The sequence below is a fragment of the Homo sapiens genome, chromosome 11 (assembly GCF_000001405.40).
Source record: "Homo sapiens chromosome 11, GRCh38.p14 Primary Assembly".
Lineage (NCBI taxonomy): Eukaryota > Metazoa > Chordata > Mammalia > Primates > Hominidae > Homo > Homo sapiens.
The window spans coordinates 2,992,594-3,006,792 of NC_000011.10; the positions used below are offsets into that span (position 1 = coordinate 2,992,594).

At 52.6% G+C, this 14,199-nt stretch overlaps 1 protein-coding gene across 15 annotated transcripts in view; it reads right to left on the reverse strand.

The window, feature by feature from the left end:
* CARS1 (cysteinyl-tRNA synthetase 1) overlaps positions 8,336–14,199 on the reverse strand; it is a 56,495-nt gene continuing 50,631 nt past the window's right edge. For 5 of the 15 annotated variants that reach the window (NR_036542.2, NM_001751.6, NM_001378137.1 and 2 more), the window contains 4 exons: positions 12,773–12,840; positions 9,948–10,007; positions 9,377–9,460; positions 8,336–8,655 (listed from right to left, as the gene is read on the reverse strand). Coding sequence is in view for 11 of the 15 variants with exons in the window: in NM_001751.6 (NP_001742.1) it covers positions 8,521–8,655; positions 9,377–9,460; positions 9,948–10,007; positions 12,773–12,840 (347 nt within the window). In the remaining 4 variants the exon portion in view is untranslated. Of the gene's footprint in view, positions 8,656–9,299; positions 9,582–9,947; positions 10,008–12,772; positions 12,841–14,199 lie in introns of those variants that run through there. The other 10 variants (NM_139273.4, NM_001378138.1, NM_001194997.2 and 7 more) reach the window with 4 other exon arrangements.

A 14,199-nucleotide genomic window follows, 5' to 3' on the forward strand; every position in this document is an offset into this window, starting at 1 on the left:
CCCCGGGTGGCACCACATCCTCGCGGGACACTGGGCACCACCCCTCTCCGTGGGCCCCGGCCCCAGCCGTCTTTATCTCCTGCGCCCTCCCAGTTCCCTAGTTCAATCCCGTCCGCGGCGGGTCGGTGCCTCCAGCACTCCGTGCGCCCGCTGATGTGAGAACCCCACCTCCCATGTCGTCCCCTCGCGCTACTCCTTGAGAACATCGCGGAGGGCCCCTCCGCCTGGGAGCCGTTTTCAACCAGCCCCGTTAGTGGTTGGGACGTAAGCCTAACCCCCGCTCATCCCCCAGGTCCCAGGTTGGAGAACACTTCCTCTGCGAAGAGGTCGGGGCTGGGTCACCTCCGCGGACAGGACGGGACTAGCCACTGCCTGCATCTCTTCCCCCACGCCCTGAGCCCCGCAGTGTCCCAGCAGCCTAGTTCTGGCCTGCGGGAGACCCTGTCGGACAAGGAGGAAAAGCAGTGCGCACTGGGCCCTCAGATCAGCCCCCTGAAGCAGAGCAGGGCAGAGGGCTGGGGAGGAGCTGGCCTGTTTCGCCCGCCCTGTTCTCCCTCTCATGGTGCCCTCTGGGCTGGGGTGAAGGTACCAGCCCCAGCCTGTGCACATCACATTTTGTAGAAAGGCATCCAATTTGATTGGAAAATAACCCCTACGCTGGGACTTTTGAGGCTGGTTCATTTCCATGTTCAACCGTGCCATTGGGGGTCTTCAAGTCTAATGTGCATTTTTTTCAGAAACGTTCTCTTTTGGGATGACGTTACTTTTGAAACAATTGCTAATTATTATTATTATTAGCAAGTTATTCCTGTAATGGGGAAAATTTGAAACCATTTAAAGGCTCCTGGTTGAGGGATTAAGAACATAGCGTCGGTTATAAACCTCAGAGGTAAGCTGGGAGGCTGAGGCAGGAGGATTCCTTGAGCCCAGAAATTCAAGTCCAGCCTGGGCAACATAGTGAAACCTCATCTCTAAAAAGAAATTAATGCGGAGCGCCGTGGCTCAGGCCTGTAAACCCAGCACTCTGGGAGGCAGAGGCAACAAGTCCAGCCTGGGCAACATAGAGCACCCTTCCCCTGCTCCAAAAACAACAACAACAAAAAATTACCCAGGCGTGGTGGCTCAGGCCTGTAATACCAGCTACTTGGGAGGCTGAGGTGGGAGAATTACCTGAGCCCGTGAGGTCAAGGCTGCAGTGAGCAGAGATTGGGCCACTGCACTCCAGCCTGGGTAACCAGAGGGGGACATTGTCTCAAAAAGACAAAAAAAAGGCCGGGCGCGGTGGCTCAAGCCTGTAATCCCAGCACTTTGGGAGGCCGAGGTGGGCCGATCACGATGTCAGGAGATCGAGACCATCCTGGCTAACACGGTGAAACCCCGTCTCTACTAAAAATACAAAAAAATTAGCCGTGCATTGTGGCGGACGCCCTAGTCCCAGCTACTCGGGAGGCTGAGGCAGGAGAATGGCGTGAACCCGGGAGGCGGAGCTTACAGTGTGAGCCGAGATCGCACCACTGCACTCCAGCCTGGGCGACAGAGCGAGACTCCATCTCAAAAAATAAAAAATAAAAAAAAAACTAATTAAAACAAAAAACATAAAAACCCCTCAGAGGTGACCGGTGCATGGCTGAGGCCTGACCCACACAGCGTGCTCAGTCCTGTCTGGCCATCTGTGTTTTAGGAGAGGGTGTGTGTGCTCTCAATTCCTATTTTACTTATTTAGACTTTCAGACTTTTCTACAAAGGTCATGCTTTATGCTTTGCGGAAGCATAAACAATGATAGAAATGACACAAGAACCTGGGCATTTGAAGTTTGGAGGGTCCTTCCTCCCATCTAATAAAGTCTCAAGACCATTTGCAGTAATGGGATCCCCCTGCTCCTGGATGTTGGGGTTGGTGGGGGTGGCATCCGGGTGGGTGGATCCTCTGAGGGAGCTGGGCCTTGGGGCTGGGGGCAGCTGGACCTGCTCCCTGGGAGATCTGCTGGAACTGGAATGATTGTGGTGGTGGTGTTTTTCTCTTGGTGGTTGGTGGTTTCTCTCCTTGGAAGATTCTCATTTGGAAATAGAGTCTTCACAGATGCAATTAGGTAATGAGGTCGAGTGGGCAGATTGCTTGAGCCCAAGAGTTCGAGACCAGCCTGGGCAACATGATGAGATCCCATCTCTACCAAATATCTAAAAATTAGCTAGGCATGGTGGTGCATCTATAGTCCCAGCTGCTTGAGAGGCTGAGGTGGGAGGATCACTTGTGCCTGGGATTTAGAGGCTGCAGTGAGCTGTGATCATGCCACTGCACTCCAGCCTGGGTGACAGAGCAAGACCAAGACCCTGTGTCAAAACAAAGAAGTCCCCAGATGACACTGACATGCAGCCAGAGCTGAGGGCCACTGGGATCAGGACTCCCAGGGTAGCTGGCGCTTGGTGAGTTTCATTCCTGTTTTCCCAGCGCTGCCTCTGCCAGGCCTCAGGCATGAGCCCACCTGTCTACAACCCCTCTGCTGCCTCAGCCTCCTCCAACCTGGAGATCAAGAGTCCCCTCCAGAGGCTACCTTGCCTGTAGTTCTGCTCTTGGCTGCCTTGTCCTCACTGAGGCTCCGGGAGACAGTCCCGGACAGACACCACGTGTTTCTTCTTCACATTGCCAGCACCCGGAAAAGTGCCTGGCACTTGGCGAGCTGTGCCCTTACCTGGGCGCTACTGACAATGGCTACACCTTGGCCTGGAAGTAGAGGCAGCAATCACTGCCCCATTCAACAGAGGAGAAAACAGAGAAACCCCTCTAACGCCCCCAGCTAAGTGGCTCTGGCCCTGGAGGGGGCGGCCATGCCCTTCACCTGTGGTGGGGGCGCTACTCCTCAAAAGACCTCGCAGCCGCCAAGAGCTGGAGCCGAGGCCTCAGAAATGCCCAAAGCCCCCTCAGTAGGCTGGGGGCTCAGCCTGTGGGGCATTAACAAAGTGGGGCCCTGGAGACATCCAAGAGAGGTGGCTGGTTTCTCCTGGTATATGGAGAACAGAAAACACCCATGGCGTACTCCACACAAGAGGGGTGCGCAGACAGGGAGTGCCTTTGCAAGCTTCCCGGCCTCAGAAAGAAGGCATCTGGAAGACTGTACCCCAAATGTTGTAGGGATTTGAGAGGTAGGGCACGGGGTCTTTCAGTTTCTACTTTATATTGGAAGTTTTCCGTATTATTTATTTTTAAATAATGAATACATGACGTTTTTATAGTAAAGACACCAAAGATTGCTCTTTGGGGAAAAACAGGAAGATGTAAATCTGGCTCTTACAGCTGAACAGAGCTTTCATGTACAGAAAAGAAACACTTTCCACAGGCAAACTAATATTATACAAGAAAAGTGTCCACCCCACGTTGTTCCAGAAGGATCTGCTGCAGCCTGACAGCAAGAGATTGCAGGGTAGGGAGGTGCTGGGGTCCTCTTGGGGGCCAAGCCAATGGCCTGGGCCCAGCCAGCCTATTGTCACTGCAGGCCCTCGGACCCAGCCTGGGGAGACTGGAGGAAGTCAGGGAAGGGCAGAGAGAAGGCGCACCGGGCAGTGGGCCCTCAGAACGGGGAAACTCCAGGCAGAAAAGCGGCCCAGAATCACTCTGAATTGGGGGGCGTGAAACAGGGGCCACAGCCTGGCCCTACTGCAGTCCAGGTGGAGCCAGGCCTTCACCAGCTGTGGGGACCAGGCGTGCCCCTGGCAATCTGGATACGTTTTTGTGCAGCCACCACTGGAAATGGGGCACACGCCACTCCTTCTTGCCTCCTTGGATGGCACCGCGGCTTTGGGCCAACCTCCGCTCACCCCAGTGGTGGCAGCTAAAGACAAGGGTATTTCCTCATGGCCCAGTTGTCAGGATATTTGATACATGGTTTCCAGCACAGGCCAGTAAAGAGGATACACTGTGGAAGGGATTGCTGCTGCTGCAGTGCCGGCTGCACTTCATCAGTTTCCTTGGCTAAAGGATACTGAGTTACAGGTTTCAGGCTACTTTGTATCTCATTAAAGACACCTCTCCATGCAGCCGCCATTATCACACTAACAAAATTAGCAAAAATCTTGACTGTCATCCAATACCTGGTCATTCAAATTTCTTGAAATTTTTTTTTTTTTTTTTTTTTTGAGACGGAGTTTCGCTCTTGTTGCCCAGGCTGGAGTGCAATGGCGAGATCTCGGCTCACCGCAACCTCCACCTCCCGGGTTCGAGCGATTCTCCCGCCTCAGCCTCCGGAGTAGCTGGCATGTGCCACCATGCCCAACTAATTTTTTTGTATTTTTAGTAGAGACAGGGTTTCTCCATGTTGGTCAAGCTAGTCTTGAACTCTCCACCTCAGGTGATCCGCCTGCCTCAGCCTCCCAAAGTGCTGGGATTACAGGCATGAGCCACTGTGCCCGACCCCCTTTGAAATGTCTTTACAGCAGGTTTGTTCAAATCCTTCAAAGATTATCCCTCAAACCTGGTGGTTTTGTTTCTCGAGTCTCTCCCAGTCCTTCTCTTCTGCCCTATTCTGCTCCCTTTGACGCAGACGTATTGAAGATGCCAGCCGGGCATCTGGCAGAATGCCCCACCTTCTGCACAAATGTGGTGGCTGCTTCATGGCCTCACCTGCATTCTCCCTCTGTTCCCAGTATTTCCTGCAGACAGGAAGTGAGCTGGACAGCCTTGCTCCTGAGGGGGCTGTAGCCCGGCAGCACAGGCCACAGCTGGGAGACTGCAGGAATGCAGAATCTTGGGCTCCTCCTAGACCTGAACTGAAATTTGTGTTAACAAGCAACCCTGGGCAGTTTATACGCACATTCAAGGTTAAGGAGCCCTAGCCTAAAAGCTGCATTCAATACTGACTTATACTTTTAGAGGAAATCCTTCTTTTTGTTGGGGGGCTGACAGCCAGGGCCCAACATCAGAAAGTAACACGTATCCCCTCCTGGAAACCTACAAGTTACTCACAAGGTGACACTTTGGCATCAAATTATCCAGCACCTACCAGCTTTCATCCAGGGGTCTCAGCATCCGCGGTCAGCCCCTGCCTGAATCAATGACTTCATTCGGGGTTGCAGAATGGAGATGTCTGATCCTGGTGCTTCTTCCCTTAGCTGGCATCTTTGGGGGAAAGAACAACTTTCCCCTTTCAGCTAGGGCCATTTGGTGGCCCTGAAATATACTTCCCATGCAAGGTAAAATACTTGCTTCTGTCACTAATGAGTAACTCTACAGAAAGGAGCTGACACAGGCCACCTCCAGTAACGACAATATGTTTTAGCTTTCTCTAGTTTTGAGAATAAATACAGATGCCTGGAGTTTTTTTTTTGTTTGTTTGTTTTTGTTTTTTGTTTTGAGACAGAGTCTTGCTCTGCCATCCAGACTGGAGTGCAGTGGTATGATCGCAGCTCACTTGCAGCCTCCACCTCCCATGCTCAGGCAATCCTCCAACCTCAGCCTCCTGAGTAGCTGGGATCACAAGTGCGCCACTACACCGGCTAATTTTTTTGACTTTTAGTAGAGACAGGGTCTCGCTATGTTGCCCTGGCTGGAATCATTCTTTTCAATGCTCAAATTGTCCCAAACTTAGCCAGTAGGAGCTCCTGAAGCCTTAAAGTAATTATAGGTTTCCAGAAAACTGCACAGTTTGTTTCCTGATGGTCACACCTTGCCTGGCCAGAGTTCAAGATCAACACAGGAGACTGACATTGGTACAATGTGTGTGACTCTACGTTGTGCTATCACATATGCAGATTTGTGTGATCACCATGGAAACAAGAACACAGAAGTGCCCTCCCCACCAACCCCACCTCCTACTGTCCCTGTGCAGTCACTCCCCTCCACCTGCCCCCGCCCCCCCACCATCTTTAACCCCAGCTACCACCATCTGTTCTCTATTCCTACTTGAGAATGTTATCTACGTGGAATCACATGGCATGCAACCTTTCAGGGGTGGCTTTTCCAAACCCAGCAGAATGCCCCTGACACATACCACCCAGCTGCTATGTGTCACTACCTTGTCCAGTGTCCTCCTGACCTGACTTCTTGGTGTTCGAAAGCTCCCCTTTTGGGGCACAAGAGTGCCTGGGCTCAGCTACTCCTGCTGCTGCAGACCTGGAACTGGCCATTTCTCCAGGGGGTGGGATGGGGTTTAGAGCCCCAGATCGGGGCTGGGGCTGCTCAGTGCCACCAGGGCTGCCTTGCTTCTCCACCCTTCCCATCTACACAGTCAGGAAACAATCTACTTTTTAAAATCACAAGTTACTTCATATTGTTTTTTCTAATTCGTATTTAATAGTAAAGTGATTTTCCTTGACTTCTTTGATATTTTATCGTCTTACATTAAAAACTTGATTGCTAGGCTGGGCGCAGTGGCTCACACCTGTAATCCCAGCACTTTGGGAGGCTGAGGCGGGCGGATCACTTGAGGTCAGGAGTTCAAGACCAGCCTGGCCAATATGGTGAAACCCCATCTCTACTAAAAATACAAAAATTAGCTGGGCATGGTGGCGCGTGTCTGTGATCCCAACTACTTGGGAGGCTGAGGCAGAAGAATAGCTTGAACCCGGGAGGCGGAGGTTGCAGTGAGCTAAGATTGCTTCCCTGCACTCCAGCCTGGGTGTCAGTGATCTTATTTGTGTTGGCATACAGGGTTTGAAAATTATAATGCCAATGTTATTACTAACAACAAAACTATTGAATTGACTTTTCTGTACTTTCTTTGACCTTAGAAGATACCCCATTAAAGATGTGTAGCAAAAAATGGCCAATTCTCAGAAAGTTGAAGTTCTTTTCTTGAGGTTGCCAATTTGATTTATGTTTTTGTGCCAGATGGTACTTTCTGAAATAGCTGCAGTAGTATTTCCCATCCCTTCTGGAACCCAGTAATGCCCACCACAGGGTAGTGTCTATGCCTCCCCCTCCGCACGAACGTGGGTGGGCCTTGTGACGGCCTCCGCTAGGGAGGACGGTGGAAGTCAGGACATGACCTCCGAGGTTAGATCCTAAAAGGCCATATAGCTCCTGTCTCTCTCTCTCTCAGGACTCGCACCTTTGGAGCTATAGGCTGTTGCAACAGAAATCAGCCACCGTGAAGCCGCCAAGCTGGAGAGATCACACACAGGTCTCACAGAGGTAAAAGGTGCCCAAGCAGCCCTAGTGTGGGACCCAGGCACAAACTTAGAGATGACCCCATCTGCCTGCAACTGAAAACCAATCAACTGAGCCCAGTCAATCCAGAGCCATGAGTTATTAACATGATCATTGTTGTTTTCAGCCATGAAGTTTTGGGGTGATTTGTTAAGTGGCAACAGATAACTGGAACATGTTTGTTTTACTTTGTTTGGGGGACTTTTCTTTCTTGCTGGTTTAAATTTTTTTATATATAAAATACTGACAAGGTTCAAAGTCAGGCCTATCAATACCCAGAGACTGTCCTCATTGATTTATAACCTTAGTGCTCCCTGCATAATTGGGTGGGTGCTCTCAAGCTGTGCCAAGCACCCTGCTGATGCACAGACAGGCTGGTTCCAGCCTTTTGCTGTGTCACACACTACTGCAGTAAACAGCATGCGCATGCGGAGGGCAAGGACAAAGAATTGGCGCACCCACAACCCAACACTGCCACACTCCCCATGCTGAGGCTGCTGCCACCATCCACATGCACTGGATGGAGTGTCCCCCCCTGGATGTCCACAGCACCAATGACTGTCTTTTGTCCCGATGGATATGGCCTGGCACCAGCTTCCGCAGGCATGAAGCAGGCTGTGGTTTCTGCTTACGCCCTCCTCAGCCAAGGATGGGTAAGCACCTTCGCGTCTGGGTGGTGATTCTTAGTCCAGGTGAACCAGGTGTGGAGGCAGGGTGGCAAGGACAACACTGGGCACTGGGGACAAGAAGGCCCCTGCTGTGTTGAGACCACCCCCACAACTCACTCATTAGCCATGCAGATCCTGGACTTGCTGTCTCCAGCGGCAGTTCTGGGCAGCTCGCCAGGGGCCTGCCTGCTGAGCCACTCGCTGTGCTGCTGCCCAGTATGGAACGGCTCTAGGAAAACCTGCAGTGTGTTTATTCATCAGAACCCGAGGGCAGACTGAGCGGCCTTTGTCTAGGGCTCAGCAGGCTCTGCCAGTCTGAGCCTGTCTTTTTCCTACTCAAATACCTCCCAATGTGCCCACACACCAGAGATTAGCCGATAGCCATCAGCATGGGGGAGAAATTCCTCGGCCAGCTGAAGCAGCTCAACTGACCCAAGCACCTAAGTTGTGACCTGCTGACCAAGCGGCCCTGGCTGGCCACCAGGCCTCCTGCCAAGTGCTGAACATGCAGAACAAGACAGAGAGGGTCTCACTGTTGAGAAAAATTTATTATCAATGTCTCAGAGCCAACGACGACACGAACCTACATGAACACAACTCTTAATTTAGGACCCAAGGGTGACTGTAAACATGATAGGAGCGCTGGGACATTGTCACTGAGGCAGACAGCAGCCACTAGTCCACAATGGTTTAAAAAGTCAGTCCTGTGCCCCCTCACTGGAAGCTTCCATTCTGGGCCATCTGCAGATATTCCTTGTAGAGCTTCTCCTGAGCCTCGAAGAGCTTCTTCAGCTTCTTGGCTTGCCCTTTGCTGAGCTCTTTGCCCTCCATGTCATGTGTGGGCAGACCCTGAAAACCCAGAGCACAGCGGCTATTGGTCTCCTCTGCACCTGGGTAACCCCAACTCCCCTTTCTTTGCCCTCCCGTCTCAAAGTGTCTATCTCCCTGATGCAGCCATGTCCTCTTGCTTGGACATTCAGTCACCACACTGCTCTGGAGCCAGCACACTCATCTGGCAGTGCTGGCTCCAGCAGCTAAGAATGGGAGAGGGGCGACCAGAGTCTGGGGGTGCTTCCTGCCTAAGGTGAGGGGCACTGTGCCCCTCAGAGCCTACCCATGGCTGAGTTCTGACACAGCTGGCCCAAAGGTACATAGCAAACACATCCAAATGCCAGCAGGGAGGGGCCTAGAGGTTTGGAGGCAGTGGCTGTGAATCGCTATGACAAAGGAAGAAACTGGGGGTAGGAGGCCTATCTGCGCCACGGCACTTCAGCCAGCTTGTGAGGGCCTGGGTGGATCTTGGCCCGGGGCCACAACTCCCAGGGCTAGGGACCAGAGCTCACCACACCAGTGGAGGGGGCCCTGGCACGGGCTTGCCTAGCTGCCTGGGCTGTGGAAGGAGCTCAGTAGTTGGGCCAGGAGGCCCTGGACCTAAAGCGGGTGTCAGATTTGATTCCAAATTTTCTACAGACAGAAAATCTGCTTGTCCAAGGTTGAAAATTCCTGTCCTCCCACTTTAATGTGGTCTGATCAAGTTCTGAATAGAAGAGAAGGATGCTTACATGCTTACATTTTCATCAAACTTGGAGTATTTGTCGGTTTCTGACAAGAACATCTCACTGGGGGGAATCTTCATCTTGGCCAGCTTTGCTGCCTAGAACACGCAACACGGCACAGTCACTGCCCCCGAGCAGCACCTGGGGCTCCGCACTGTGAACGACATCTGCTCATACCTCCAGCCCTCAACTTGCTTCCAAGCCCTCAGATTCAGAGTGCTATGAAAGATGGGAAGGGGAAAGCCAAGGTGGAGGGAACATACAAGGAATTTAAAATTAAACCAGATGTTATTTCTACAGGAATAGTGGAAAGCTTACTAGAAAACCTAATAGTAGTAAGTCTATAAACGCTGTCTTGGAGCTTGTGACCACATGGCACAGCCTTCCCCTTGGCCAGGCCTTCCCTGCACCCCATGTGAGAAGGGCCTGGCAGGCCTTGGGTGGTGGAGGCAGAAAGCGGAGCTCCTTCTGTGAGGGTCTGCAGGGGCCTGGCTAAGGTCCACGGAGGCACAGAGAGCCACAGGGCATGGGGTCAGGGTGCACTCCTGCCCAGTAGAGCCCTCACCCCCAAACAAAATGCATTACTTCTTGTTCCTGTTTCCTCCGGGCCGCCTCCTCTTTCTTCTTCCTCTTCTCCTCTTCAACCTGGAGGGTCAATACAGAGCCAGATGAGACAGGGCTGCCTCAGGCTGCTGGGTCTCTCGGAGTGAGAGGTCTAGCCAAACAAGCCCCTCTCCTAGGGCCTGGCATGGAGGGCTGAACTCTGACCAGGCCCTCCCCACTGTGGGGAGACAAGCCCATGTGCCGGGCAGCACACCGACCCTCTTCCATTCCCTTTGGGGATCCTCAGCGGCACCCCTGGGTGCCTGGCCCTGCCCTAGATGCAAAGGTATGCAGCAGGCAGACAAACAGAACCAATGCTAAAAGATCCAGGCACCACTAACATGAAGAAATGGACCAGCATGGTGAGCCTGGCCCAAGGAGAGAGGATCTGTAAGGCAATGACCAGGACAGCACTGTGAGGGTTATCCTGAGTGGGTCTTGGGGTACCTGGGAAGGAGCAAGAGCGCCAGGGCAGGATGGGGATGGTGGGCGGAGGGCAGCCTTGGGGGCTAGGTGAGGAGACCAGAGCCCACTCCAACCAGCAGGCAGCACCCGGGCAGGGGCGAGGACAGTCTGATGCTGCAGGGAGAGCTTATTAGTGGAGCCAGCAGGCTGGGTGCCGGTGAGGGAAGCCCTCGGTTGCTTTGGGAGGTTCTGGCCTGAGCCATTGCACGAACAGACATGCCCTCCACTGACGGAAAAGGAGCAAGTTTGGGGAGTTGAAAATCACATTTTCACCTTTCCTTTGGACAGCCTAGGTTTCAGATGCTTCCCAGCCCAGTGGAGCTATCAGGTAGGCACGCCCTCCATGGCAGGAAGGAGGAACAAGTTTGGGGAGTTGAAAATCACATTTACTTTGGACAGCCTAGATATCAGAGGCTTCCTGGCCCAGTGGAGCTATCAGGTAGGCAGCTGGGCAAACTGTTTTTGGGCCACCGGCTACAAGATAGATGGTGGAGAAGCCGCAGGACCAGATAAGGTCTCCTGGGGAGGCGCCACACACAGAGCTAGGGAAAAGAAACCAGGAAGGCACAAAGGTCTCAGAGACTCAGGATGGGGCTGGGGCCAACAGGATCGAGCTCTTTCGAGATAGATGGAGGGAGAGCAGGGCTGGCCGAGGGAAAGGGGCTGAGGTGGGGGAGGAGCTGGGCACTGAGCTTGGAGGAACCAGAGACACAGTGCTCAGGATTTCTGCTTTTTCCCTTTAAAAGTTAGTATGTGTTTATGTGCTGGTGGGAATGGTACAGGGAGAGGCAGGACCCCTCCCCCATGGTGCCTCGGGCCTGGGGATGCCTTCTTGCAGCAGCTTGGTGAGGTAAGAGTCCCTTGGTTGGGAAACAGGAGCTACTAGAAGTCACAGGCCACAGCCAAGGTGGCCAGTGGAAAGGCCAGCACAAAGAGTGCAAGGCCTGTGAGGCTCTGGCCGGGCCACCCTGGCGCTCCTCTTGTCTGTTTCCTGCTTCTGAGCACTCTGCCAGGGAGTGCAGCAAGCCAGGGCGTCTGCACAGCCAGCACCAGGCCACCTCACAGCACAGCACGGCAGGCGAGACCCAAGGCTAGGTGAGTGACTGTGATGGAATGGGGAGGGGCCCTGATGAGGCAGTCACACCAGCCAACCTCACAGGGCAAGCCCAGCTCTTCCCAACCTGCCAACCAGGATGGACCTGCAGACCACTCACCACTGTCTAGAGCTTTCCCCAGAGTTCCAGTTCGTTATTCCTCCAAAGCACTGCAAACTCCAGCCACCCACACTTGGATCTGGCATGAGCTCTCCCCTCGTGCCTTGGGCCAGTGCAGGGCTAGGCATAGATGCCTTCCCTGACCTTGTACATCCCATCTATCAATCAACCACCCTGTCGATTCTCCTTCCTCAGTTCCTCCCAGAGCCTCCTTCCTGAGAGCTGTGGCATCCAAACTCGCCCTCCACGGTGGTCTCCTGCTTTAAGCCTCTTGGGGACCCACCTGCTGGTGGCAACAGCCCCCATGGCCCACCTCCCATGGTGTGCACTGGGGGCCCAGGTGCCTCTCATCCTGCTGCCTGCATCCCAGGGTACCCCATGCGCTGTGCCCAGAGATTCTGACATTGCGTTTTTGTTCCTGTTCTTCTGTCCTATTGGGCACCGAGGAACTTGGGCCATCCCTGATCCTGGGGGCGTTGTGGGGTGCAGGTGGGGAGTATGCTGGGAATAGGAGGTGGAGATGCATCAGTGACACGCGCCACTCAGGTGAGGGCACGGTGGGACTGGGATCTTAACATGTCAGCTTCGGGCCAGGCGTGGTGGCTCAAGCCTGTAATCCCAGCACTTTGGGAGGCCAAGGTGGGTGGATCACGAGGTCAGGAGATTGAGACCAGCCTGACCAACATGGTGAAACCCCATCTCTACTAAAAAAATACAAAAATTAGCTGGGCACAGTGGTGCGTGCCTGTAGTCCCAGCTACTTGGGAGGCTGAGGCAGGAGAATCCCTTGAACCAGGGAAGTGGAGGTTGCAGTGAGCCAAGATCGTGCCACTGCACTCCAGTCTGAGCAACAGAGTGAGACTCCGTCTCAAAAAAAAAAAAAAAAAAAAAAGTCAGCTTCACAGTTTGCCAAAAGTGACTGGTTTTCACTTAAACTGAGGGAATAATCTTTTTAAAAGAGGTCCTTCATTAGAAGATACTAGTTAATTTTTCTTTCTGACATTTATAAATACTGGGATTTTAATAAAAGTGTAAACATCAATGCTTAAAAAGTAAACTATGTAATAATCGCAATGGTTTTTACATTTTCAACAAATATCACGCTTAAGTCATTTTCACTTTACTCACCCGTCTCTTTTCTTCTCTCTCTTTTAATAAGGTGTTTCTGTCTACCAGTTTCACCACTGTGGGCAGTCCTGCAAAATAAACTGCGTGTGAGAAGAGTCTGGGCTCTGTGGGCCGTCCCCACTGCGGGGCCAGCCCTGCCCTGCCCTGCCCTGCCCAGACCATGCGGTGCTGCCCAGTCAGAGCGAGGGCCCACAGGAGAAAAACAAACAAAAACCTCCATAGCAGCAGTGAAGCACAGGAGAACATTTTGGTTTGTGTGTGTGTGATTTTTTTTTTTTTTTTTTTGAGACAGAGTCTTGCTCTGTCATCCAGGCTGGAGTGCAGTGGCACGATCTCAGTTCACTGCAACCTTTGCCTATCGGGTTCAAGCAATTCTCGTGTCTCAGCTGCCCAAGGAGCCCACACCCAGCTAATGTTTTGTATTTTAGTGGAGACGGGGTTTCACCATGTTGCCTAGGCTGGTCTCGAACTCCTGAGCTCAGGTAATCCACCCACCTCAGCCTCCCAAAGTGCTAGGATACAGGTATGAGCCACCACACCTGGCGAGAACATTTTGTAACGAGAAGGTAGGAAGGTCTTGCCAGCCAGGAGTAGGAAAATAGGACATGACATCTGAGATTTAAAATTACCAGGGGCAGAGTGGAAGAGTGGAATTGGAGGGTTCGTAACACAAAGAAATGATAAATGCTTGAGGTGATGGACATCTCAGTTACCTAGATTTGATCATAGTACCTCATACGCATGTATCCAAATATCACACATAGCCCATAAATATGTACAACTATTATGTATCCATAAAAACTGAAACTAAGGCTGGGCATGTGGCTCATGCCACTTTAGGAGGCCGAGGTGGGCAGATTACTTGAGGTCAGGAGTTCGACACTAGCCTGGTCAACACAGTGAAACCCCGTCTCTACTAAAGATACAAAAATTAGCCGAGCGTGGTGATGGGCGTCTGTAATCCCAGCTACTCGGGAGGCTGAGGCAGGAGAATCGCTTGAACCCGGGAGGCAGAGGTTGCAATGAGCCGAGATCGCGCCACTGTACTCCGGCCTGGGCGACAGAGCGAAACTCTGTCTCAATAAACAAATAAATAAAAATTGAAAATAAAAAACAAAAAAATTAACTTTCTGTGGAACAAAAAGACCTCCACGAAGTGGGAGAACAAGCATGCAATCTGTTGACAGTGTACAGGATACAGGCTGGTTCCTCAGCTGAGAGCTTCAAAGGCGGTAGCAACAGGGGCAGCGGGCAGCCAGGCCCCTAGGGGAGATGATGCGCAGGGGAGGTGACACCACCACACGCAGCAGTGGGAAGGAGCTACGGGGTGCTCCCCTGCCCCTGCCAGGCTGGCCAGCGTGGGAATGGCGCCGGGGGACCCATGGGGCTGCCACTTTGGGATTCTGCATCAGCAATCATGAAGCATG